This window comes from Homo sapiens, chromosome 13 (assembly GCF_000001405.40).
Source record: "Homo sapiens chromosome 13, GRCh38.p14 Primary Assembly".
Taxonomy (NCBI): Eukaryota; Metazoa; Chordata; class Mammalia; order Primates; family Hominidae; genus Homo; species Homo sapiens.
The window spans coordinates 40,788,921-40,813,391 of record NC_000013.11 but is presented as its reverse complement, the minus strand read 5'-3'; the positions used below and the strand labels follow the sequence as shown (position 1 = coordinate 40,813,391).

At 46.6% G+C, this 24,471-nt stretch overlaps 1 protein-coding gene, 1 non-coding gene and 1 pseudogene across 4 annotated transcripts in view, besides 4 other annotated features; 1 reads left to right on the top strand and 2 right to left on the bottom strand.

The window, feature by feature from the left end:
* TPTE2P5 (TPTE2 pseudogene 5) overlaps positions 1–16,407 on the top strand; it is a 124,766-nt pseudogene extending 108,359 nt beyond the window's left edge. For both annotated transcript variants that reach the window (NR_038259.1, NR_038258.1), the window contains one exon: positions 12,668–16,407. The product of NR_038259.1 is annotated as a TPTE2 pseudogene 5, transcript variant 2 (transcript). The remainder of the gene's footprint in view (positions 1–12,667) is intronic.
* On the bottom strand, positions 932–23,781 carry SLC25A15 (solute carrier family 25 member 15). Its single transcript, NM_014252.4, has 7 exons — positions 23,729–23,781; positions 20,111–20,234; positions 14,077–14,335; positions 8,137–8,274; positions 5,929–6,098; positions 4,796–4,954; positions 932–3,849 (listed from the first exon to the last, which is right to left on the bottom strand). The coding sequence occupies exons 2-7, from the start codon at positions 20,163–20,165 to the stop codon at positions 3,725–3,727; spliced, it is 906 nt and encodes a 301-aa protein (NP_055067.1). The 5' UTR covers positions 20,166–20,234; positions 23,729–23,781; the 3' UTR covers positions 932–3,724.
* On the bottom strand, positions 2,531–2,626 carry MIR621 (microRNA 621). Its single transcript, NR_030352.1, has one exon. It is a non-coding gene; the product is annotated as a microRNA 621 (primary transcript).
* Positions 20,471–20,550: a silencer, noted in NCBI's record as "silent region_5287". NCBI's record gives its function as "represses an Ori minimal core promoter by ATAC-STARR-seq in GM12878 lymphoblastoid cells {active_cell/tissue: GM12878}" and the evidence as "EXISTENCE:reporter gene assay evidence [ECO:0000049][PMID:35858748]".
* Positions 20,681–20,840: an enhancer, noted in NCBI's record as "active region_7616". NCBI's record gives its function as "activates an Ori minimal core promoter by ATAC-STARR-seq in GM12878 lymphoblastoid cells {active_cell/tissue: GM12878}" and the evidence as "EXISTENCE:reporter gene assay evidence [ECO:0000049][PMID:35858748]".
* Positions 22,205–22,499: a silencer, noted in NCBI's record as "tiled region #12795; HepG2 Repressive non-DNase unmatched - State 2:TssF". NCBI's record gives its function as "represses a minimal TATA promoter and a strong SV40 promoter by Sharpr-MPRA in HepG2 cells {active_cell/tissue: HepG2}" and the evidence as "EXISTENCE:reporter gene assay evidence [ECO:0000049][PMID:27701403]".
* Positions 23,632–24,211: a silencer, noted in NCBI's record as "silent region_5286". NCBI's record gives its function as "represses an Ori minimal core promoter by ATAC-STARR-seq in GM12878 lymphoblastoid cells {active_cell/tissue: GM12878}" and the evidence as "EXISTENCE:reporter gene assay evidence [ECO:0000049][PMID:35858748]".

The window sequence follows — 24,471 nt, the reverse complement described above, 5'->3', positions numbered from 1 at the left end:
GAGGCCCAGGCCAGTGGGCCTTGCCTGGCAAGGTGCAGTGGAAGTGAGGCCTGCAATCTGTCCGCTCCTCAGCACCATGGATATGGCCCCTATCCTAGGGGCACACGAGAGAGCCTGGCCTACCTTGTTGGCCGGACTATGGCAGCCGGGGCCATAGCAGCTCAGGGATCCACATTGGCTTGAGCAGTGGCTCTGCCCAGACTCCAAGCAGCTCTCTGTGTCAGTCTAGAACCCCAGGGTGTGTGTGTGTGTGGGTGGGGGGGGGGGGGGGGGAGGGCAGGTGGAGTCATGGAGGATCTCCTGTGCCTGGGGATTGCCAAGGTCCATGGCAGAAGTGTGAGTCCCCAGGAGCCTTCACTCACTCACACTTTCCCTGCTGTAGGGAGCCTCCCCTTGCTCTGCACCAATCCCAGGTGGACAGCTGTCCTTCCTTACTCCCCTATGCTCTCCATGACTCACCACAGCTTCCCTGATGAATCCCAACACAGCCTGCTGGATGATCAACCTGAAGAGCTTGTGTTCACTCACCACTCTGTCTCCTCTTGTGAAGGCTGCGCACACTAGCTGCTTCTAGTCAGCCATCTTGGCACTTCAGATACTTGTTTTCTTAAGTAGAATTTAGTAACTTGGAATGGAATCATCCAAAACTTAAAAGCAGACAGTTTAACTATTTTTTAAAATAGAGGGAAAGAGGTGGAGGGAGAAAGTAATTCTAGTGAGCCAAGTTCCATAACTTCAGAGCATAGAAATATTTTTGTCACCTTACCTATGGTGAAATTATTTTACATGAGGTGTCTTGCTGACAGAAAACAATGCTTGTTGCAATAAAACCACTGCCTTGAAACACTACTATACATAACTCTTTAACATTCCTGACAGTTGTTTCCCAACATGGATGTAAAGAACTTCAATGAAATTCATCAGACTCAAATATTAAGTAAATAATTTAATGATAGAACACTGAAATTTCTTTAGACACAGTATTTTCAAGTTATATTTCTGCCTGGAGTACAGATATGAAATAGCACAAACTGTACTCTGAATTAAGCAAACAGAATGAATAAAAAAAAAATATTCTCCCAACCTAAGTTTCCGTTCCTCATTTCCACTTGCCTCAGACTCTTTCTATTGAACATATCTAGTTAAATCTCTAATGGACGGCCTGTGGGAAGATTTACTGCCAACAGGGATGACTGACTTCTTTCCGGACACTGAGCAGGGGACTGTGGGCTCTGAAGCAGTTTACTTCCTGTGGAAAGCCAGTCCCATTTCTATTTTACTTCGATCCAGGCCTATTCAGATAAAGCACCACTCAGTAGCTACTGACCATTTAAGTATGGAGAGAAAAGCAAAGTAGAAAAATGGTTTTCACTTAAAGAAAAAGCAAATGGAAGACCAGCCATAATAGCTCCATGGCACAAGAGACATGACAGGGATCTCCTCCCCAGATGTCCCCTGATGTTTGTCAGCCTCTCATATCCCTGGCCCTCTGGCTTCTGGCTCTGTGATTACAGTTGCCACAGAGGATTCATGGACAGCAAAAAGCTTAAGGAACCTGGAGGTTTTGTACAACATGTACATTCTGCTGACAGAAACACATACATGGTATGGACTATTATTAAAATTGATAGCCTGCTTGCACTCAGTATACAGGCTGCTTAGGAACACTTTATTGGGAGATACCCTGCTGGTGTTGGAGCAGCACAAAATGATGAGGCTAACTTAAGTAGTGACAAGAATGATCCTCTTATACCATATGGCCAAAGAACAGCTGTCCATCCCCAAGTCTATGGGGGATCAGATGAAGTGTGGAGTTTGGTTGGTTGGTCAGTGAATTTTTGGTCAGTGAATACATACATATGGCATAGTGAAGTACAATTGCTTTTCTTTTCTTTTTTTTTTTGAGATGAAGTCTCGCTGTGTCACCCAGTCTGGAGTGCAGTGGCACAATCTCAGTTCACTGCAACCTCTGCCTCCCGGGTTCAAGCGATTCTCCTGCCTCAGCCTCCTGAGTAGCTGGGATTACAGGCACGTGCCACCACGCCCAGCTAATTTTTGTATTTTTAGTAGAGATGGGGTTTCACCATGTTGGTCAGGCTGTTCTCGAACTCCTGACCTTGTGACCCGCCCGCCTCAGCCTCCCAAAGTGCTGGGATTATAGGCGTGAGCCACTGCGCCTGGCCTACAATTGCTTTTCTTATGTTCCATTGCTTTATAAACTCATATCACATATACAGTCATCATTAAGACTTACTGACTGCAAGTACCAAATGTAGAAGCCTCCAACACTGTAAAAGCATGGCAAGACAGGCTTCAGGATGGGTCAGACCTGACATTACTCACTGTGGAGTACAAGCACTGAGTTCTTTCTAGTTCTCTCTGAGAGAGGTTCACCCACTGTCACACAATCACCAAACAGGGAAGAAGGCTTCTCTTGGCTTTGGCTCTCACTGTTCCTTGGAAGGGTTTCTGATTGGTGGAGGCAGAGCAGACAGTGAGTGGCCCAAAGTGGATTGATGGCCCCAGGCCAGGACCCAGAGACAAAAGGTAAGCGCTGTTGCTAGCCACATGGGTCTTCATCAGAGCACAGCAGCACCGCCTACCACTCAGCCCCTTCCTCAATCTAAAGCCCAAGAAGGGAAGTTCTTTGGGAGAGAAGGGAAGCTGGTAAAGGCCATGCTATTTCCCAAAGGCCTGACCCTCTGGGCCACCCCTAGCAATATAGTCAGCGTGGAATATGATCCCACCTAGAAAATGAATGGCACTATTTTAAGAGTAGAGCATCTTGGGGAAATCTAGGATACCTACTCTGAAGCTTTTACTCAAGTGTGGAAGCCACACCAGTATGCAGGTATACTGTCTTACAAATCTAGAAGGATATTTTAGTTTTCAAGCACCCCATGAACACTTTTTAAAAAATTCAACCACTGGCTGGGCATGGTGGCTCACACCAGTAATCCCAGCACTTTGGGAGGCCGAGGTGGGCGGATCACTTGAGGTCAGGAGTTCGAGACCAACCTGGACAACATGGTGAAACCTCGTCTCTACAAAAAATACCAAAAAAAATTAGCTGGACATGGTGGCGCGTACCTGTAATCCCAGCTACTCAGGAGGCTGAGGTGAGAGAATCGCTTGAACCCAGGAGGCGGAGGTTGCAGTGAGCCGAGATCGTGCCACTGCACTCCAGTCTGGGTGACAGAGTGAGACTCTGTATCAAAAAAATAAAAAATAATCAACCACTTAGAAAAGTACACACATTAAGCAGACCCTACATCTAGAATGGGTTAAGCAACCATTTATAAGCATCTTCATGAGAAATGATCACCTCTGGGTTTTTCTGATATTTGAAATAAACAAGGTACCAAACTGTATTTCCCTCAACACATAACTGTCCAAATTGCATGTACAAGTGGAGGTTTACGTAAAAGCCCTGACAGAACTATATTCCACCTTTTGAATTAGGTGCATAAGGCTACTGACCACTCTATATTTTACCAAGAGCAAGAGCGGTCACTTTTCTATTTCAGTACAATTATGGACAGAAATGATATGATGCAAAATAGAGGTTCTTCCATAAAGTTTAAGATGTAGGGTAGAAGGGAAGACAAAAAGCAAAATTCCCAAGAAATCAGAATAACTTCACACTGGTCTTGTACTCCAAGAAACCCTGAGATGAACTGTAGTCCTCAAACACCTGTGCTTGGCTCAGGCCCACCAAGACACTTCAGTATGCTTCCAACTGGTTCATCATCAACTTCCTGCTATATTCGTAGGCCAAAAAGAGTGCTCCATTGGCAGGGAATGCTCGAATCATAGTAGGTTTCAGTCCAGAATATAAGGCCGTTATTCCTAGCAAATAAAAGGGCGGTCAAAGACTGCAACAATCCCTCCTTTGGGGATACCCACGCAGCTGCATAGCATAGGTATATTTACACATGCAAACCCAGACAACAGTGCTAAAAACCAACAAGTCATAGAAGGATGCATTCCCAGCTTTTCCTAAATAGACTAATGGAAACAAGGACAAGTATCAGGTCTCCTGGCAAAACTGACTGATGCTCAGGTAACATACCCCAATTCCACGCTTGGTTAACTCTTAGTATATGGATGGGGCAGAGCTGAGGCCTGAGATGGCCAGACAGAGGCAACCATGGAGATAGAGGTGGCAGCAGCTTTGCAGCTTCACCTGGGCAGTGGCAGGAACACCAACCTTGAAGTTGGAGACCTGTGTATAGTATTAGTACTGCCCAGGGTGGTTATGAAGATTGAATTAGATAAGGGAGGTGTAAGTACTTTGTAAAACTTTACATGTTATACAAATGTAAGGGAGGATTACTATGAGTAACAGACAAGGTATCTGTCCTCTATTTGGGACACAAAGTTTCTGTGTTACTGTCCTCTTTCTTTTTACAATCAAAACAGAGTTCATATCTCAGATTTTTTTTTTTTTTTTTTTTTTGAGACAGAGTCTCGCTGTTGCCCAGGCTGGAGTGCAGTGGTGCAATCTCAGCTCACTGCAAGCTCCGCCTCCCAGGTTGACGCCATTCTCCTGTCTCAGCCTCCCGAGTAGCTGGGACTACAGGTGCCTGCCACCACGCCTGGCTGATTTTTTTGGTATTTTTAGTAGAGACGGGGTTTCACCGTGTTAGCCAGGATGGTCTCGATCTCCTGACCTCATGATCCACCTGCCTCAGCCTCCCAAAGTGCTGGGATCACAGGCATGAGCCACCACGCCCGGCCCGTATCTCAGATTTTAAGATGTATATAGATGCTTGAAAAACAGGTATTTACTCACCTTCATTTTTCACAACATTTATAAAGGTTCTGATAAATCCTGCCTGTTTTCCAGACATGGAAAGAACTTGAATTCTGGATTTGATACAATCCACTGGGTATACCGCAAGCCAGAGGCAAATCCCACCAACTCCACCACTTAACATCAAAGGTACAGGGCCTAGAGAAAAAAAAAATAGCAAATGGTATTTTGTCTCAAGAACAGCTGATGTGACATTTCCAGAGGTCAATGTAGTAATGGCTGCAGGTAGATGAAAATAAAAATGCTAATGCTACAGAATACAATTCTTTGAGGAAAACTGTCAAAGCTCTTGTTCCCAAGCTCTAAGAACACAGGGTTTTGTTTGGTAGCCCAGGTCTACTCCTGGGTCTTGCCAAGTACAAGAAGCCTTAGTGAGGGTTATATTTCGCTTGGTCACTGAGGTGTCAAGGGCTGGCCCACACGAACCAGCAGGCCTCCAGCTGAGTGGCAACCCCCTACAGTGGGGAGAAGACAGGCCAAACACAATCTATGTCTTTTTTCAACTTTCTCACTCTTAAGTATTTTAATAGCCCTGATTCTTCATTTATCATTAAAAGCCAAAATTGTTTTTATTAAACATAGCAATTAAGTCTGGGAGCTTGACTAACCACAGAATAGATTCAACACACACTGAGGGAGATGGTAAGAAAAACTCACTTATGTGAGCCAAACATTGCATGTAGTTGTACCAACCAGCTAAACACGATAAGCTACAAAGAACTATGGTTTTCACTGCTCTCAAAACACTATTAAGATTTCCAAGTTTTAACCTTATTTCAAGATTATTTATAGGTGATTCCCCAATTGGGAAAGTAATTTCTGGATTTCTTCTCCCCTAAAATAGATCCAGAAAAATTAAAAAACTTTATTCCAGTAAGAAAGTTTGGGATGTACTGCTTCAGGCCCTGTCCTAAGGAAATTATCAGGCCTGGAGGGTGGGTGCTATCAACTGCCTGCCACCATGTTACCTTCAGGCATCCAGAAGCTTCCCTGTGCCAGATGGAGCCACCAATGTGGGGAGGAGAGCACAAAGGGCAGAGAATCCACAGAAACCATACCTGCAGGGAGCAAACACCATCACACCCCACTGCTGTCAATGCAAACACATTTACCTAATTCATCTTTTGATCTCCCTGATGCAAAAAAGGACCGGCTCAGTTCATAGCCACCGAAGAAGAAGAAATAGCCTGGTACTTCTCGAAGTAAAGTGCTTGAGAGTCCATGGTAGAACCCCAAGGGGCCATCTTTCCTAAGAATACTTTTGATGACAGACCACACTGTACTGGGAGGAGACACAGAGAGATAGCACGGTTACAGCAGGTGGGAAGGAAGAAAAGACAAGGGCATTTGCAACCAATTAACAGATCTGATCAAGCACTAGTAAGGAAGAAGCTGATTTTGTAAATGAAGAGCCAGGAATTAAGACTCAACGGCATCCTTCTGTGGGAAGGAAATTTATTTACAGTAAGGAATTATCTAAACTCAGCAAACATAAAATGGCATTGTATTGCCCAGTCCCTTATCGCTGTGATTCCTATTTCCTCAATCTTTCTGGTGTGTTTTTGGGAAATTTGTTCAGGTGTTTACAGGATCTGTTTTTAGTGCAGAGAAATGAGTGAAGGAGTAAATGTTGTCTGAAGACAAGACAAATTCTGAGAACAAGTTATATAGCTCCTGTTATGCAGAAGCACCAAGAATTTATTTCTCAGAGCACCAGGGATGCGGGAGAATTTCTTCTAAGCAGCCCTGCTCCTGTAGCAGCCAGAACACAGGACACTCTTTGTCTGACTCCCCTTCATGATTGAGGGCAACCAGGGCAGGTTTATCCCTGCTAAGAACAGGCCAAGAAATCACATACTCAGTGCAACTTAGTGAATCCCTCTCTCCTCACTTTGTTCTCAGCAAGAAGGAGACTTGGCTTGGACAGATGAAGGATCAAGTCCCAAGGTAATAAAGGCCACAGACATTTAAAAACTATTTTCCTTCTGAGAGCTTCAGAAGACACTGTCAGGTATTCCCCATCAGCCAGCCCTTCCTGCAGCACTGCTACATGGAATGTAACAAAGTAATCCAGCTCAACACAATTAACCTCCCTTCCAATCCGAGTCTTAGCCCCAAGCTACCATACCATGCCTTGTGTGAACACTGCTAGACCTCAAATACAAAGTCAACTGATAATTCAAGGTGTTGATCTGCCTAAGTCCTTTGGATATAACTATTACTATCTTTTAATTACCTTGAATTACTTCCAAGGAACATGAGGGCAGCTTTCTGGGTGTTGTTAATGTTCTATTTGTTAATCTGGACACAGGTTACAAAGGCACATAAATTGTGTCACTATTTATAGAGCTGCATACTGTGACTTCAATGTGCATTCATGATACTATGTGTATTATTTCAATAAAAAGTTTTAAAGACTTACACTCTTGGACTTCTAGGCAATGAATATTAGATTCAAGTTGGCTGTAATGAATCTCAAGGGTGCAGAAAATAGGGCACTTTTCCAAACCCCATTCTCACTGAGTGGGGACTGATCCTTGAAAATGGTCAATTTATCTACTGCTTTTTCCCAGCAGATTTATAGGCTTTGAGTTAACCACAGCAATATCCTTGGTCAGAACTCAGCCAGATGTCAAGATAAGTAAGCAAGTTTTGCAATTAATAAGGATAATAAATTGCTTTCCAATTCAAGTAAATCAAATTGTGTATGAAACAGTACTCTCAAAGGATAATGAGAATGTGTTTTCAAGAGTGAGCTAGAGAGTGATTTAATCACTGAAGAGTAGCTATGCTTATAAAAGTATTGATTAATGTTCTCAGAACTTGGGCCATCTGCAGGTACACTTGAAGGACTGGGGATAAGTGGGGTAAGAATAGTTACCTCTAGGATCTGGGTCAATCAGCCTGAATACCCATACGAAACCTGAAGTGGGGATCAAATATTCATCTCAGAATCCAAATTGGCACTTATGAAGGCTCAGGTCTAAGGCAAAGTTCAAAAGCCACCCATTATGTACCTCCAAAAATGGCTGAAGATCATGCCTTATGTTTCCAAGAGGCCAAAAAGGGTGTTAAGCTCCTGGCTTCTCCAGTTCTGGGGTATTAAATATCTGTCTAAGACTTTTTATGCAGTGGGTGGTGGGTCCCATCACAGCCAATCCTTTCAGAAAATCTCTGATAGGGGAAAGCATTCTAGAAACAATATTTTGGAGTAGATAAATTGGCTTCCACATCTGCCACTTTAGTACAATGTAAAATGAAAAATCATCCAATACACTAGGGCAATAGAGACCTGACGTTTGTGCCCAAGTGGTGCTTACTTCTGGCTCTTGGCTATCTTCCCTGATGTCTCCATCTCATACATGGTCTGCAGCCGGCACTTCACGAGCTCCGTGGGGCAGAGCACCAGTGCAGCAAAGGCAGAGGCGAAGGAACCGGCGGCTGCATTCTGCAGATCACTGAAAGCACACAAGCAGACAGTTACCCCTCAGTTTCTTCATTCCTTTGGCACTCACCACACAGACAGCACTTTGGTGATAAAGCAGGGTAAGGAGCCGGGCGTGAGGGCATGAACCTGTGATTACAGCTACTTAGGAGACTGAGGTGGGAGGATCACTTGAGCCCATGTGTTCTAGGCTACAGTGCTATGACTGCATCTGTGAACAGCCACTGCATTCCAGCTTGGGAAACAAAGAGAGACCTCCATGTCTAAAAAAATGATGAAAGGGCCGGGCGCCGTGGCTCACAACTGTAATCCCAGCACTCTGGGAGGCCGAGGCGGGCGGATCACGAAGTCAGGAGATCGAGACCATCCTGGCTAACATGGTGAAACCCTGTCTCTACTAAAAATACAAAAAAAAAAAAAAATTAGCCGGGCGTAGTGGTGGGTGCCTGTAGTCCCAGCTACTCAGGAGGCTGAGGCAGGAGAATGGCGTGAACCCAGGAGGCAGAGCTTGCAGTGACCTGAGATTGTGCCACTGTACTCTAGCCTGGGCAACAGAGTGAGACTCCGTCTCAAAAAAAAAAAAAAAATGATGAAAGGAAGGAAACTTGCATGTGCTGTTTCATCTAAGGATCCCACAACCCTATGAAGCAGACAGCAGCACCCCAGTTCCCTATGGGAAGTGACACTTAGAGATGACATAATGTGGCCAGTCACACAGCTACTAAGTGGCAGTGCTAGGATGTGAACCCAGGTCTTCCTGACTGCAACAACCATATTCTTTTGATTACACACAGCGCTATGGACTGAATTTTATCCCCCCAAGGTGATGGTGTTAGGAGATGGGGCCTTTGGGAGTAATCAGGTGTAGATGAGGTCATGAGGATAGGGCCATTGTGATGGGATTAGTCCCTTAGAAGAAGAGGCCAGAGAGCTCGCTCACTCTCTGCCATATGAGGACACAGTGAGAAGACGGCTATGTTCAAATTAAGAACAAGCCCTCATCAGACACCAGATCTGCTGGAACCTTGATATTAGACTTTTCAGACCATAGAACTGTGAGAAATGTTTGTTTAAGCCACTCAATCTGTAGTATTCTGTTACAACAGCCAAAGCCAAGATACATCGTGACATGACAAAATAAAACGCCACAAAAAAACCTAAAGGAAAGGAGGAAAATATTGCCCATAGTCCCCCACTGAAAAACATGCACTATTAATACTTCAGTGTGTCTGCCCTAAGTTTTAAATAAATCTAGGTTCTAAGCCTATCCCCACATGCCCACAATCCAACCTGGAGCAACCAGATGTGCAATGTAACTGCCACAGATGAAAACCCAGAAAAAACGTTTAACCAAAAGTTGCTGCATCACAAAAAGATTTTCCAGTTCAACTGGTGACCTACCACCTCAGCAACACAGACGAGGGTAAAATGGTGCCACAGGAGTGGGTGAAGCCAGTACAAGTCTGCAAGCTCAATGGTATTAGGTGAAATTGCTAAACTGGAAATCTAAACTAGGCAGAGGGATGAATGCACAAATACAAAACAGAAGCATTCACCTCATGTATGGATTTAGTACCAGCAGCCAAATGTCACCAGCAGGGTTGTGAAACTGGAATCCAGTAAGAGTTCAAGAATATGGGGAGGCCAGGCGTGGTGGCTCATACCTGTAATTCCAGCACTTTGGGAGGCCAAGGCAGGCAGATCAGTTGAGGCCTGGCCAACATGGCAAAACCCCGTCTCTACTAAAAATTAGCCATGCCTGGTGGTGCACGCCTGTAATCCCAGCTACTCTGGTGGCTGAGGCACAAGAAGCGCTTGAACCAGGGAGGCAGAGGTTGCAGTGAGCCAAGATCATGCCACTGCACTCCAGCCTGGGTGACACAGTGAGACTCTTTCAAAAAAAAAAAAACGAATACGGGGAAAAGTCTGAGAAGTGTTTCAGAAGAAAGGCTTCTCTGCGAGTTCCTGGTTCATGGGAGTTGGGATAGAAGATCCCTTCCAGCCCTAGAAGAGTGTTGTGTCATGGGATCATGACTGGCATTTGGGGGTAGGACAATCCTTCATTGGGCAGGAAGGACTGAACTGGTTCCCTGACACCCATTCAATGCCAGCATCATGCTCTCACTGGACAGCCAAGATCACCCTCAGAGATTTCCAAAAACCCCTAAGGGTGGGTGGGAATCTCCTCAGCTAACTACTCAGGTAGAGATATAATCCCCTAACAATTTTTCTCCAAACTGTGAGCAAAAGCACAGATGGGGCAGGGCACGGTGGCTCACACCTGTAATCCCAGCACTTTGGGAGGCCGAGGTGGGCAGATCACGAGGTCAAGAGATCAAGACCATCCTGGCCAACATGGTGAAACCCCATCTCTACTAAAATACAAAAATTAGCTGGGCATGGTGGTGGGCGCCTGTAGTCCCAGCTACTCGGGAGGCTGAGGCAGGAGAATTGCTTGAACTGGGGAGGCGAGGTTGCAATGAGTTAAGATTGCGCCACTGCACTCCAGCCTGGGCGACAGAGTGAGACTCCGTCTCAAAAAAAAAAAAAAAGCACAGATGGACTTACCATATTCAGGGGTACTCAAGTTTTTCCAGTGTTAAAGATTAGTATAAAATCAAGGTGGCACCAGTCTTGGCCCTGGTTTGCTAGTCCCTGGTGGTCTAGCTTCTGTACCATGGCCAGAGGCAACTCTTTCAGAAGACTTGGCTTAGAGTGGAGCTTTCTTTCAGTAGGAAGACACTGTTTGCAGTAAGGACTTCCTTTTGATGTTAGAGAATTAAGCCTAAAACCATTAGCAAAGGAGAACCAGGTACACAAATGTACTTGCACACGCTTTTATGGGGTGTGGAAACCATCCAATGCTGTTCAGTCCACTCCTTTCCCCCACTTCACTCCTTAGCAGCTTGTTAGAACTGAAGCTTAAAATGGTTTCTGTTGTCTTGCAGCCAGCCTGCAGATCCACAGTTGGCCTCCCTCAGGGACTCTCTGTTAACCTGTTGACAGGCAATAGTCAATTAGGAGCATTAACCAGGATCTGCCAAGTTTGCCAGGACAAAGGTGGCAGTCAATAAATGTAGAAGTCTATTGAGTTTAAGATATAATAATGGCTCAGACATCTGAATGAACACCAAGCACATTATTATAGTGCAAGGACACAGTCAAATCAGATATGCAGTGGACTTTGGCTTTCCAATAAATACTTTCATTGACCAGTGCACAGAAGGAGGTGCATGGGCCCCTGGTTCTGCATGTAGTATGAATGTGTAGAACTGGAATTGAAACAGTAATAGGTATAGGATGGGATTTTGTAAGAATCATCCATTTGTCATATGTTCAACAAACATGTACCTGAGCACTCCTGCTATGTAAGACCCTGTCCAGCCAAACGTCAAACTAGAACATTCTGGGTCATGTTGAAACCGGGAACAGACAAATATTTACAATGTGATTGCAGAAATTCACCACAGGCTCTCACAAGCAGTTCTTTCCTTTCACTGCTCCTGATTAATCTTCTCTCTAGAACTGACCCTTATAAAATATTCCAGACCCCCAACTGTGGTCTGATGGAAAGGAGACTGGGCAGGAGCTCAGAGGACACAATTTCAAGTCCTTAGCGGGGTGACCTTGAGCAGGTCAACATCGGCACCTCAGTTTTCCATCCCTAAGAGAGGTAACATCTGCCTTGCTCTTCTCACAGGATCACGGTGAGGGCTATAGAGACATGATATACATGTCAGAGCTTTGTAGACTCTAAGAGAGCATTTCCCCAACAGGTAAGAGGCAAACACTGTTCCTCAGGATGGAAAAAAAAAACGGGCCCAAGCTCAAAAAAGATGAGTGCTGGATTAGACAAGGTTAATCAGGATGGTTTCTTTTCTTTTCTTTTTTTTTTTTTTTTGAGAGACACAGTCTCGCTCTGTTGCCCAGGCTGGAGTGCAGTGGCATCATCTCACTGCAACCTCTGCCTCCTGAGCTCAAGCAATCCTCCCACCTCAGCCTCCCTGGTAGCTGGGACCACAGACATGTGCTACCACACTCAGCTAAGTTTTGTATTTTTTGTAGTGACGGGGTTTTGCCATGTTGCTCAGGTTGGTCTCAAACTCCTGGGCTCAAGTAATCTGCCCACCTCAGCCTCTCAAAGTGCTGGGACTACAGGCGTGAGCCACTGTGCCCAGCCTTACGCATCTTTAATGAACTAAATAACACATACACTATATGAAATAAATGTACCCAGAGTGATTCTTCACGAGAGAGACACTGTGACGTAATTTCCCAACCCTTTCTTAAGGACACCCAGCAATTCAATGTTCTGAAAGCAGTGTGGGAAAATGCAGCTGTAAGGTATTAGATTGTTCTCAGCAGAAAAGCAATATGCTCTTACCTGTCCTTCACTTTGTTCACAGGCTAAGGAAGCAAGAAAGTGGAGGGGCGGGCAGAGCCAGATCCAGTGGTTTCACTCATGCAAGACAGAAGTCACTGTCTATCCTGTGGCTGGAGGGGCTACTTTGCTCAGAAGACACAGGTCTTCCCCAGAATCTCACGTGGCTGCTTACTGTTTCCCTGTCTTCTCTCCCCATTTTGTCCTTTGCTAAGGAAACTGAACTGAATTCCAGGTCTTCTCTAATAGAGTGTCTCTCCTTCAACAGGGAACAAAACTACAGTTGCCTGTAGTTTTTGCTTCTGTTCAGTCTCCATCATGGCATGCCATACTCTCCTGGTTTGTGCCCTGCTTGTTTCTTTACTGCCTTCCTGCCTGCCCTTTCTGTGCTGGAGGCTCATCCCATTCATGCTCAGCCCTCCTCGCTGTCTACACTGTCTTCTTGGGCAATCGTATCTAGTCCCAAGCCTTTTTAAAAAACAAGCTCTACCCATCATGGTGGAATTCCTGTCTATAAAAGGGCACACCTTCAGACCTCCAGGCACCTCCAGAGAACAGTGCTGTGCACAAGAAACCGAATTCAGTTGTGTGGGACCTGCAGCTGCAATCAGGTTTCAAACTCCTACTGAAATAACTAAGACTGCCCTTTGCAATCTTGAAGCTTATATAATAATTTTAAGTGGTATAAAATAAATCAACATTCAAAGCAGGGATAGCTAAACATCCCAGTGGTTTCCAAATTCTGTTTAGTCTCTATATAATAAATACCCAAGGCAAGACCAACAAAGAGGCAAAGTCTGATGTTTTGGGAAGATTTGGACAGAGAAAGGTGGGTTCCCTTGCATCTTCGCAGACATTTCCGACCCTTCCTAAAACTCCTCAAGTTCATCTGGCTCAGACAACCTCTTCCAATACTCTGCTTTTTGCTAATGAAAGAAAAGCTAAATCTTGGATCATAAGCAGCATCTACAGTTTCAGTGCAGCATGTCTGCTGACGAGAGGTAGCACTGCCAGCTGCATCTGAACAGCATTCTCCTGGAGAAAACTGAAACAGAAGGGCGGTTCATTCTCAGTGGTGGATGATGAGCAGGTCTCCTCTGTGGTGTGCATATGTGGTTTCTAAGTTTTATATGATGACAATGTATAACTTCATAAATAAAAGGAAAGCAGTTATTTTTAAAAAAGGAAATGTTCTTCCACATAAGGCACCAGTAAAATTGTGACCATACAACAGTAGATTTTTTTTAATTTTTATTTTTTTGTAGAGATGAGGATCTTGCTGTGTTGCCCAGGCTGGTTTTGAACTCTCAGCCTCAAGCCATTTTCCTGCCTTTGCCTCCCAAAGTGCTGGGATTACAGGCATGAGCCACCATGTCTTGCCAGTTTTGTGGGGTTTTTTTAAACAAATAAAAAAAGTGTGTGTCCTTGACTCACCTCAGCTTTGCCTGCTTGTCCAATCCAGCCACTTTCCGCACCACCTGCTGGCAGAAGCCGTAGCACATGAAGAGGACTGAGTTCTCAGCGATGTTGGCGATTAGTGCTGGACTGGTACCCTTGTAGAAGCCACGGAAGCCCACCTGGGAGTAAGTCTTCAGGCAGCAGTCGGTGAGGCCCCGGTACAGGTCAGGGAACGTCTGCATCTTCACTTTCATTGTGTCAAAGGGCTGCCCGGTCAGTACACATGCTGTACCTCCTGCAATCAGGACAGATGACTGCTCTAGTACGAGGCTACAGTTCCATTATCCATGGAAGGAAGGCACAGGCAGCCTACCCCAGAACTTACCCCTGCTTCGGTTCATTTCAACCTCTTTTCCTCCAAAACCTTCCAGCCATGTCCAGTAAACAATTTAGAGCAGGTCCTTGATGTGCCTGGCATCTAAGTCCCACCCTGAAGGAGCTCATGCCAGGCAGGGGAGAGAGACAGACATGTGTTCAACAGCGGCAAACAGTGCAGTGAATATGTAGGAGCCTGGGCAATAGGGTCAGAGGGACTATGGCTTTGCTGTGAGATCCTGGACAAGCCATGTAACTTCTGAGCCTCAGCTCCTCATCCATGCCACCTCACAGGGTTAGCGTGAGGATTAAATAAAAATGGAGGAGACAGGCTTGGCACAGCACCGGCTACGTAATCAGTAAACAGCAGCTACTGTGTGCACAAGAAACGGAAACCACAGAAAGGGAGGGGAGACCTGGGAAGACTTCATCGCTCACTTTGCCTAATGCCCAGTGGGACTGATCAGACCCGGCACCACGGAAAGGAAACAAGGAGTCTGGCTAATTAATCCCCAAAGAGCTAAATATTTCATTCTATAGAAAAACCTCTTTAATTTGAGCTCTACCGATTAATAACGTGTATGTAAATAGAGAATGAACTGAAATTTATTTATGCTTAAATCCTTTATTTATATACTTCTATAAGATTAAATACAGCAGAGTCTACATTGCACAAAATAATTTTTTTTTTTTTTTTGAGATGGTGTCTTGCTCTGTCACCCAGGCTGGAGTGCAGTGGTGCAATCTCAGCTCACTGCAAACTCCACCTCCCAGGTTCAAGGAATTCCTGTGCCTCAGCTTCCCAAGTAGCTGGGATTACAGGCACCCACCACCACGCCTGGCTAATTTTTGTACTTTTCATAGAGATGGGGTTTCACCATGTTGGCCAGGGTGGTCTCTAACTCCTGGCCTCAAATGATCCTCCTGCCTTGGCCTCCCAAAATGCTGGGAGGCATAAGCCACCATGCCCAGCCACGTGAAATCATTTTAGTAAAAATTCTAAACAGAAGAGAAGAATGAACTGTAACCACCCTACAACATCCCCACACCCTGTAGTAGGGTTGGCGTCGTGGGAACTGCCAGTGGTTAGTGTTTACCGTCTCCTTCTGGACCTGAGAGGAGCTCTTAAAGCTTCATCAAAATGCAAAAGAAGGCTTACAGAAAATATTTAAGAAATGCAACTTCCTGAATTTGATGTTATACACAGTTATTCCATCTAAACTCTGGAAAGTGGAGTTGGGGGAAGGGACATTAAGAATAATTCTCAATTATTTATTGGCAAATAAGCCAACAATTCCAGAGTCTGAAAACTGCTTGATCTCTTTTTTAAGCAACAAGCAATATGATCTCTGTGAGCCCATCATTACTGTTCATTTCTTACAGGAGAGGAATGACACACTTCCGCCTTTAATTGCCAAATTATCCCCAATTCTGAATTAGTGGAATATAATTTAATATGATTTTATTATGATTAATCCTGAGTCATTCTCTCCCAGGTAATGCTGGGCTAGGATAAAAAGAAATCTGAATTACATTAAAATAATTTAATTATTCCAAGAGAAAAGGTGACAGAATGTTTTAAGTGGGTGCGTAATTCAGAGAGCCTAGATGCAGATAAGCTGAATAAAGCATTTAATTCAGCACATTCATATTTTAACTTGATCATCTTGAACAGTTCAGGCATCACAGGTTACTAGAATACACATTTGCTGTGTAGCTGGGACAGTTACATTTCCAACAGGGAGAAGGGGGAGGCTAATGAATGTACAAATGCTAGCAACAACTGTCTCCCGTCCTCTGCAAGGGTAAGCTAACTTCCCGTGTAATTTACCACAAATGATATGGTCACGGCGCTCACTGTGCCCTCAAGTGAGAGAAGACTGTTCTGAACACCAGTACCAACCACAGAGACTGACACCTAGTAGGTTCTCAAAGATCGATCAAGTCCATAAAGCCATGAATAAATATTATATTTCTCCACTTGCCTAGAAATCAGACTTCTGATCTTATTCTCCTTAAAAGACAAATAACAACATTCTTTCGGCGATATGGTGGCCAGCCAAGCATCTTATTCCGCAGGAAAGGCACTCAGATTATGTCATACCTAACACTTTACTAAGGGTGGTGGTTTGGATTTTCAGTCCTTGACATAGAGTCAGTAAATCACGAGATACAGAGGAAATCTATCAGGGCAGGGACAGTGTCTCAGGGAAGGGACAGCTCTGAAGAAGGCAGAGAGGTGAGGAGAGAGAAGCAGACTCACACCACAGGACCAGGCCCACCAAGCAGAGGTGAGACCCTCAAACCCCTCTGGAGGCCATCGTAAAGGTTTAACAGGGCAGGGAAGAATATCATTTTCAAGAAACTCCAATCAAAAAAGGTTTGGGGTTGTTTTTAATTTTGGCATTTGAGAAGATAAACTTCAATGATCTGAAATGCCACATTCTCCAACTATGCTAAACAAGGTAAACTGCAACAGTAGTCAAAGTAGTGACTGCATTGTTTTAGAGTTGCTGAATGACTATTAAAGTGGTACCAAGTTTCTCTTTAAGGCTATTTAACTTTTGGGATCCACGCACCCCCATTTCAATAATTACCTAATCACCTAAGTTCTTGAAATCCTCCTTTATCCTAGCTGTTTAGGGATCTAGATGTCTTACAGCCATTGCAGATAGGGAAATGGGAACTTCCCAGCACTTTAGAGTAGATAAGCTGGCTAAAAACCTGTGTGGTGGGGAAAACGTTGTTTAAAGGAAAAGAAGAGACACACACAACACCACATTTAAGCTCCATCCACATCACCTCGGGCTGCAGCTGGCTCTGTGCTTACAGATGGATCGCTTCCGTGGGTGACCTCTGCCACAAAACACAACAGGTCCTCTGCTCCTATCAATGGCTGGCAGAAAATTCCCAAAGCCCAGCAAGTTCCACATCCAGAAAGGCAGGGCCCAAAGGCTCCAAACTAACCCTCCCCTCCAGTGTGCTGCAGATGCATTACGGAGTACTAAAGCAGAGACAGCAACGACACCAGACAAGGGACCCAGGGATCACAGTCCTGCCCTGTCTTCACACCATCTTGCTGTGTAACCTTGAACAAATCTACTGCTCCTCTGTGGGCCTTTTTCTACATATCCAACGAGCATTGGAGCCAACAATGTCTAAAGGTCTCTCTAGCTCCAGCACTCCAAGACTCCAAGATCCTCAAAAGTGGGTTCCATTTGCATTCCATAGGCCTCACAGCAGAACAGAGGTTTCTGTGTCACTGCTAGGCACCTCCTCTGCCCAGCCCCCAACCTATAGACCATGTCTCGCTCCCCCTCCCTATCCTGTCCCCCCAGGAATGGGCTTCGTTGTCCTCAGAAGTTAAGACTACCCACAGCATCTCTACCTCGGTGAGGGGCGTCCCTGTGTCGCCAGCACAGGGGGAAATACCTGTCCAACAGTGATGGGGACAGTGTGTCAGTATACATAAGGGATCAATACATGTTCAAAACATGCCCACCAGCAAATGCCTTACATACCAGGCTCCCAACCATACTGTTGCAATTTCTATCTTTCAAACTAACTTGTAAATTATAAATGTGGTACCCAAATACCTGTATGCACATAAATAGGAAAAGGTAAACTTTTAAATTCTATCACCATAGGTTCTAGATCTTTGACAGATTGACTGAAAGACATAAAATGTCAAAAGCTGAGACTATATGTGGCTAAACACCCTCCTTCTGCAGAAACAGAACTGAGCCCAAGAGCATTCACTCGCTGGTGAGAGGCGGCCTGGGGCAGGCAGATGTTTGCACCATTCTCAGGGTCAGCGTCCTCCCCAGTGTGGCATGGGGGAGGGGAGGGGGAAAGGGGCTTGGGAGGCTGTAGCCTAAAGGCACGCAGTGGGCAAGAGACTACTGGGCAGACCCCCACTGGCCTTCCGTTCCCTGGGCATCTGGGGCTGGGACGCTCCTTGTGGGTTCTGCCCTGGGAGAAGTGCCCTTGCCCAGTGCTCCTCATTAGGCTCGGTGACGGTGACGCGCTCTCTCCAGTCTTCCTCATTAGCATACCCTGGCTGACCTTTGGCTCATGGAAAAACACTTTGCTCTTCTCTGAACAATTTCTTTTTCACAATTGAGCAAATGACTGATGAGGTGACCATATTCATGACCATACTCATCTGCTGGTGGTGGGGGTGGGGGGTGTGCTGGATAAGGACAGCACTGGGCAACACCCCCGCTGGCCTCCCCACTCCAGGGAGCTGCAACTACTATGAGAATCCTGCGGGAGCCCAGGGTAGTCCAGGGTTTTCCTTTGGGCAATCAGTATTCCAGCCACTCCTCCTACTTCTGGACTCTGGAGAACCAAATTACCACCATGCACTTCCCATTCCGCCCTGTTTCCCAGCCTGAGGGTCCTGCTCTTCCTGCATGTTCAAGCTGATCTTTCTAAGGAGTAGCCTGCATGGTGCCAGCACTACCCCTTATCACAGGTAGCACCTCCCTGTGCTGGGGGAGCCTCAGGCTCTTGGGCTCAGGCCCCTAGGCTCAGGTTAGCTGACATTCCCAGCAAATCCTACAACTTTCACGGCTCTAAGACACAGTCCATTATCAGTCTCATTTTCAGAGACATGTCTTTTTTTTTTTTTTTTGAGACAGAGTTTCACTGTTGTTGCCCAGGCTGGAGTGCAATGGCGCGATCTTGGCTCACCACAACCTCCGCCTCCGGGGTTCAAGCGATTCTCCTGCCTCAGCCTCCCAAGTAGCTAAGATTACAGGCATGCACCACCACGCCTGGATAATTTTGTATTTTTAGAAGAGACGGGGTTTCTCCATGTTGGTCAAGCTGGTCTTGAACTCCTCACCTCAGGTGATCTGCCCGCCTTGGCCTCCTAAAGTGCTGGGATTACAGGCGTGAGCCACTGCGCCCAGCCTTTTAAAGACATTTCTAAGAGTGTCCTCCTTTCTTTCCCAACACTAGCAGGGACAGTAAGTGGTGTTTCCCAGGAGATGCTATGGTGTTATTTTTGCACAACAAGGGCTCTGAAGACTGCCAGGCTTGAAGTGAAGAACCACATCACCTGCATATCCCAGCCAGGTGACAATGGACACGTGGCTTCACCTCTGAGCTGTTTTCCAGCTGTACTGGGCACCTTCCACCCATCACCCTGACTGACAAGGTGTTAACAATAACGGACACTCCTCTAGCTTCTGCTACTCTCTGAACAATACTAAACTTCCATCAAATGGATTAATCCCAAAGGTAAAGTACTGGAGGGAGAAAGGTAGTATTTTCATACCACTTTCATTTGATCTCATTTAGAGAGTAGTTGAGGAATAGAGAGAACTGGGTTTTCTCTGGGATTATAGTTAGGCATTGCTTAATGACTGGGACATGTTCTGAAATACATGTCATTACACAATTTCGTCATTGTGCTATCATAGAGCATACACACCTGACCCTAGATGGCGTAGCCTACTCCACACCTAGGCTATTCGGTATGGCCTATTGCTCCTAGGCTATACACCTGTACAGGATGTTACTGTACTGGATGTTGCAGGCAACTATAACACAGTGGTATTTATGTATCTAAATGTATCTAAACACAGAAAAGGTACAGTAAAAATATGGTAGTATAATCTCATGGGACCACCATCAGATACACCATCCATCAACGACAGAAACATGGTGATGAGGCACATGACTGTACCTGCAGCCCCCGCTGTGAGGTCAATGGCAGCCTGGATAGCAGGATTGGATTTCATGTTTGCCCACTCTTCTGCTGGTCTTGTGGAAGGCAGCTCTCTGGAGCTTATGACAGGCACCACATATCCCTGGGGGGAGGCAAGAGTTCACCATTAGTCCAAGTCTGCAGCATCCTGTTCTCTAGGCCTGCAGCCAAATTACAGAACCTAAACTTCTGGGAGCCATGACCTGGGGTCCACACTGTTCCAAAGGAAAGGGGCTCAAGGTATCAGTGCAGCTTAGCAACTGCCTCCTAGAAAGCTCACAGATCAAAAACCTCCCCTGTGTATCAATGCTACAGCCACCAGCAGCACTTCAACTGACCTTTCTGAAAACTGAAAAAACGAACACCAAATAAGTAAGCCAACCACAGGTGTACCAAACCGCATCAGACTTGTTTTTTTAGAGGCCTATGTTGAGCCATCAATTGAACAGGCTCAGTTCTAAATTCAGACAGCAGCCTGTGCTGGGTGCCTAAGGGGATCTCACAAGACAGTAGGTCTGGAAAAGAGCACCCAGGCAGCCAAGGGTGGGAGCTGCACCCTGGGATCACACACGCCTTGGTGAATGCCTGCTCTACCTGCAGTGTGGCTCCTTCAGCCTCTACAGCTGGGAGTCCTCATCTGTACAAGGTGAATAATAAAAATATTATAAAACAAACACAGTCACAAATAGCCACATCAGACTGATGGGACGCCACACCGTGCACAAGCATCATGTGTTCTTAGAACAAGGCCCTGCGCAAGCATCTTCCTGTCACACACATCTTCCCGTCACCACAGACCACCAGCCCTTCAAATGTAAACGTGTGCAGGAGTAGCCTGGGGGCCTTGCTAAATAAAATGCGGCCTCTGATTCAGTAGCCTTGGACAGGACCAGAGGTTCTGCCTGTTCTGATGAGTTCCCAAGTGAGGCGGACAGTGCCAGTCCACAGACTCACACTTTGAGATACAACACCTGGGCCGTTGTGTCCAAATCCACTTGATAACCTGGAGCACTTATTAAATATCCAAATTGCCAGGACTTTCCTCTGGAAATCTGGATTCAGTATGTTTTGGTTGGAGCCTTGGGCATTTGGGAAAACTAGAATTTCTTTCTCTCTCTTTAGACAAAAGTCAACTACTGTTGAGGCATGGGCTTAATAAATGTTGACTAAAATATCCAACTCAACGACCAATCCTGTACAGTTTTCAAACGGTGTTAGTAACTTATTTGCAAATAATAAGGAACAACTTATTCCTCATCACACTGAGGAGCCGTGTGACCCATCGTGCTGGATCAGAGATGAACACCAAGCACGCTCCTAACACCAATGTCACCCTGAACGTCAACAGGAAACATTGGCCGTGGAGAAGTTGTTTAAACCTCTTGAAGCATCTTGCCAACGACGAGACTTCAATAATCCTCCTTTATTCACAAAAAATTTAAAACCAGTGGCAACAACGGCACATTACTTAATAAAGCAACTAAGTTAGAAGTGCAAGACACTGATTTATATGCTGTTGATAGGTCTGGAGAGACAGGACCATTCACTAGGCTGAAAAGGTGGTGGCCATCTGGTATCTTCCTAAAAAAGTTTATCAGGGTCCTGGCCAGGCGCGGTGGCTCACGCCTGTAATCCCAGCACTTTGGGCCGGCTGAGGTGGGAGGATCACGAGGTCAGGAGTTTGAGACCAGCTTGACGAATATGGTGTAACCCTGTCTCTACTTAAAATACAAAAATGACCCCAGCGTGGTGATGCACACCTGTAGTCCCAGCTACTCAGGAGGCTGAGGCAGAAGATTCACTTGAACCCGGGAGGTGGAGGTTGCAGTGAGCCGAGATTGTGCCACTGGACTCCAGCCTGGGCAACAAAGTGAGACTCTGTCTCAAAAAAAAAAATAATAATAATAATAGAAAATAAAAAATAAAATAAATAAATAAATAAATAAATAAATAAATAAAAAGTTTATCAGGGTCCTAATCCTTTCCCAGAAGGCAAACTAAAGCCTGGAGCAAGACAAGGTCTTCTCCAAGGCCACACAACTGTCAGTGACAGAGGATTCAGTTCAAAGTCCTGTCTTTTCAGGCCTGTGCCTACAAACCAACCGTTAATCTGAGTATTTCAACCTGGCCAAAGGCAACACAAAACACCCAACCCTATATTTTTGGGAAAGAAAAAAACGGGGGCAACTGAGCAGACAGACAGAGGCAAGTACAATGTGGCCTCCTAGATAAACCTCAATGCGCTTATTTCTTTTGGCACAGACACTTCCTTCTTAATTTTGAAGGAAAGTCACATCACATTACATTCTATCTGTCCCTAAGAATTAAACCCTGTTAGGTGAGCCAAACTTAAACACATTAAATTCTACAAATAGGCCAGGCACAGTGGCTCACGCCTGTAATCCCAGCACTTTGGGAGGCCAAGGCGGGCGGATCACCTGAGGTCGGGAGTTCGAGACCAGCCTGACCAACATGAGAAACCCCCGTCTCTATTAAAAATACAAAATTAGCCTGGCGTGGTGGGCCATGCTTGTAATCCCAGCTACTCGGGAGGCTGAGGGAGGAGAATAGCTTGAACCCAGGAGGCGGAGGTTGCGGTGAGCCGAGATCGCCCCATTGCACTCCAGCCTGGGCAACAAGAGCGAAACTCCGTCTCAAAAAAATAAACAAACAAATAAATTCTACAAATAGCCATTAGAATTATTAGGATAGAAAACGATGATGGGTACTAACAGATTCACTCAGAAGGAGTGGGCAGCTAATTCACATTATGTGTAGCTCTGGCTTGGAGAAGACACAGGGCTTGGAGGAGGCAAGACTGTTCAGCATGAATTAAAATTGATTTATGAGCTTGCTGTAGCACTTGGAATAGAAAAAAGAATCTTTTCAGCGCCTTTGACCCCTCTCTCAAATTACACCAGGGTGCAACTGAGGAACAACAGTGCCGACCACCCACTTTTCTCGACCCTTGGGGAAAATAACTTTTTTTTGGAAGGGAGAGTCAGTAGATGAGGCTGCATTTTCCACCAGGGAACACGAACTGCTGCGGGAAGATCCCAGCTTCTGGCTAAAGGAGCCGCAGGCCAGCTCGCCATCCAGTCCCCAGAGCCCGGGCTTTAGGTAAAGCGTGGAGATGCAAATCAGTTTCGCCGCCAAGGACCGGCCAGGCGCGTCTCCTCCCGGGCCTCGCAAGGAACAGGTCAGGGAGACGACTTCCAACTTTCTTGGCCGGACCCTAAACGTTCACCGCCCCTGCCCAGCCGCCCACTCCTGGGCAGCCAGCAAGTCTCCATTCACAAGCGGCTCCATGCTGCCCAGCACTGGCGCCCCTGAGGCGCGGAGCCCCGCAGCCAAATGACAGGACTTGGGGGCAAACAAGGACAAAAGTTCCCACCAGGTGGGCACTGCAGGAAGGAGGCCGACAACCCCGAGATTCTCCGAGTCCCGCGGCACGTGCGCTGCGACGCTGGCCGCTTCCCCCGCCGCTCGGGAAGGTCACGCCGCCCGCACACCGAGGCCCGCCCCGCGCCCCGCTCCCCGCTCCCTCTGCCTGGCGCGCTCCCCGCAGCTGCAGGCGCCAGACCGGGCTGCGCTCACCGCCGCGCCGGCGTGGCCGCGTCCAGCTCAGGCTCCGCCGCCCGCTCTCGGCTCCGGGTCGCCGGCTGGGGCGGCCACTTAACACCCACGTCGGCAACGGCCGGCCCTTCGCCCCTCCCTTCGCGCAGGCATCCCGGACTGCGGCCCCGCGAAGCTCAGGAGCGCCCCTGCGGCTGGCGGGCGGCCTGCCCAGGGCCGTGCCCGAGCCGAGACCGGGAGCCGCCACCGCCCACCGGCCCTGCCACCGCCCCCAGCACGGGAAGCGGAAGTGGGCGTGGGGCCGCGGCGCGCACAGCCAGCCCGCGACCCGGCGTGGTGCTGCCGCCGACCCTGGTGAAGGTGGAGAGCGGGGCCTGCGCCTCCGGAGACTTTCCCACCTCTGGGATCCCCGAGACCCTCTCTGAGGCCGGACCCTTGTTAGCCCGCTGGGCTGGGACTGGGGGCTGGGGGCTGGTAATGTCAGTGGTTGGGAGGACTTACTTTTTAGCTACTTTGACCTTGTTGGGAGGCTAAGGCCTTATTTATAAATTATATTTGAGTACAAAATTATACTCGGGATCCAAGGCCCTAATAGGAAATACAACTAAGTATGAAAATACAGGAATTAGCCGGGCATGGTGGCTCACGCCTGTAATCCCAGCACTGTGGGAGGCCGAGGTAGGCGGATCACCTGAGGTCAGGAGTCCAAGACCAGCCTGGCCAACATGGTGAAACCCCGTGTACTAAAATTACAAAAATTTATC

Coding starts and splice junctions, on each gene's coding strand:
- SLC25A15 (NM_014252.4), bottom strand. CDS start 20,165: ATGAAATCCAATCCTGCTATCCAGGCTGCCATTGACCTCACAGCGGGG. Junction 4,955..5,928: donor GAGATCAAAAGATGAATTAG/GTAAATGTGTTT, acceptor TTTTTTCTCTAG/GCCCTGTACCTTTGATGTTA. Junction 3,850..4,795: donor AAATGTTGTGAAAAATGAAG/GTGAGTAAATAC, acceptor TTTATTTGCTAG/GAATAACGGCCTTATATTCT.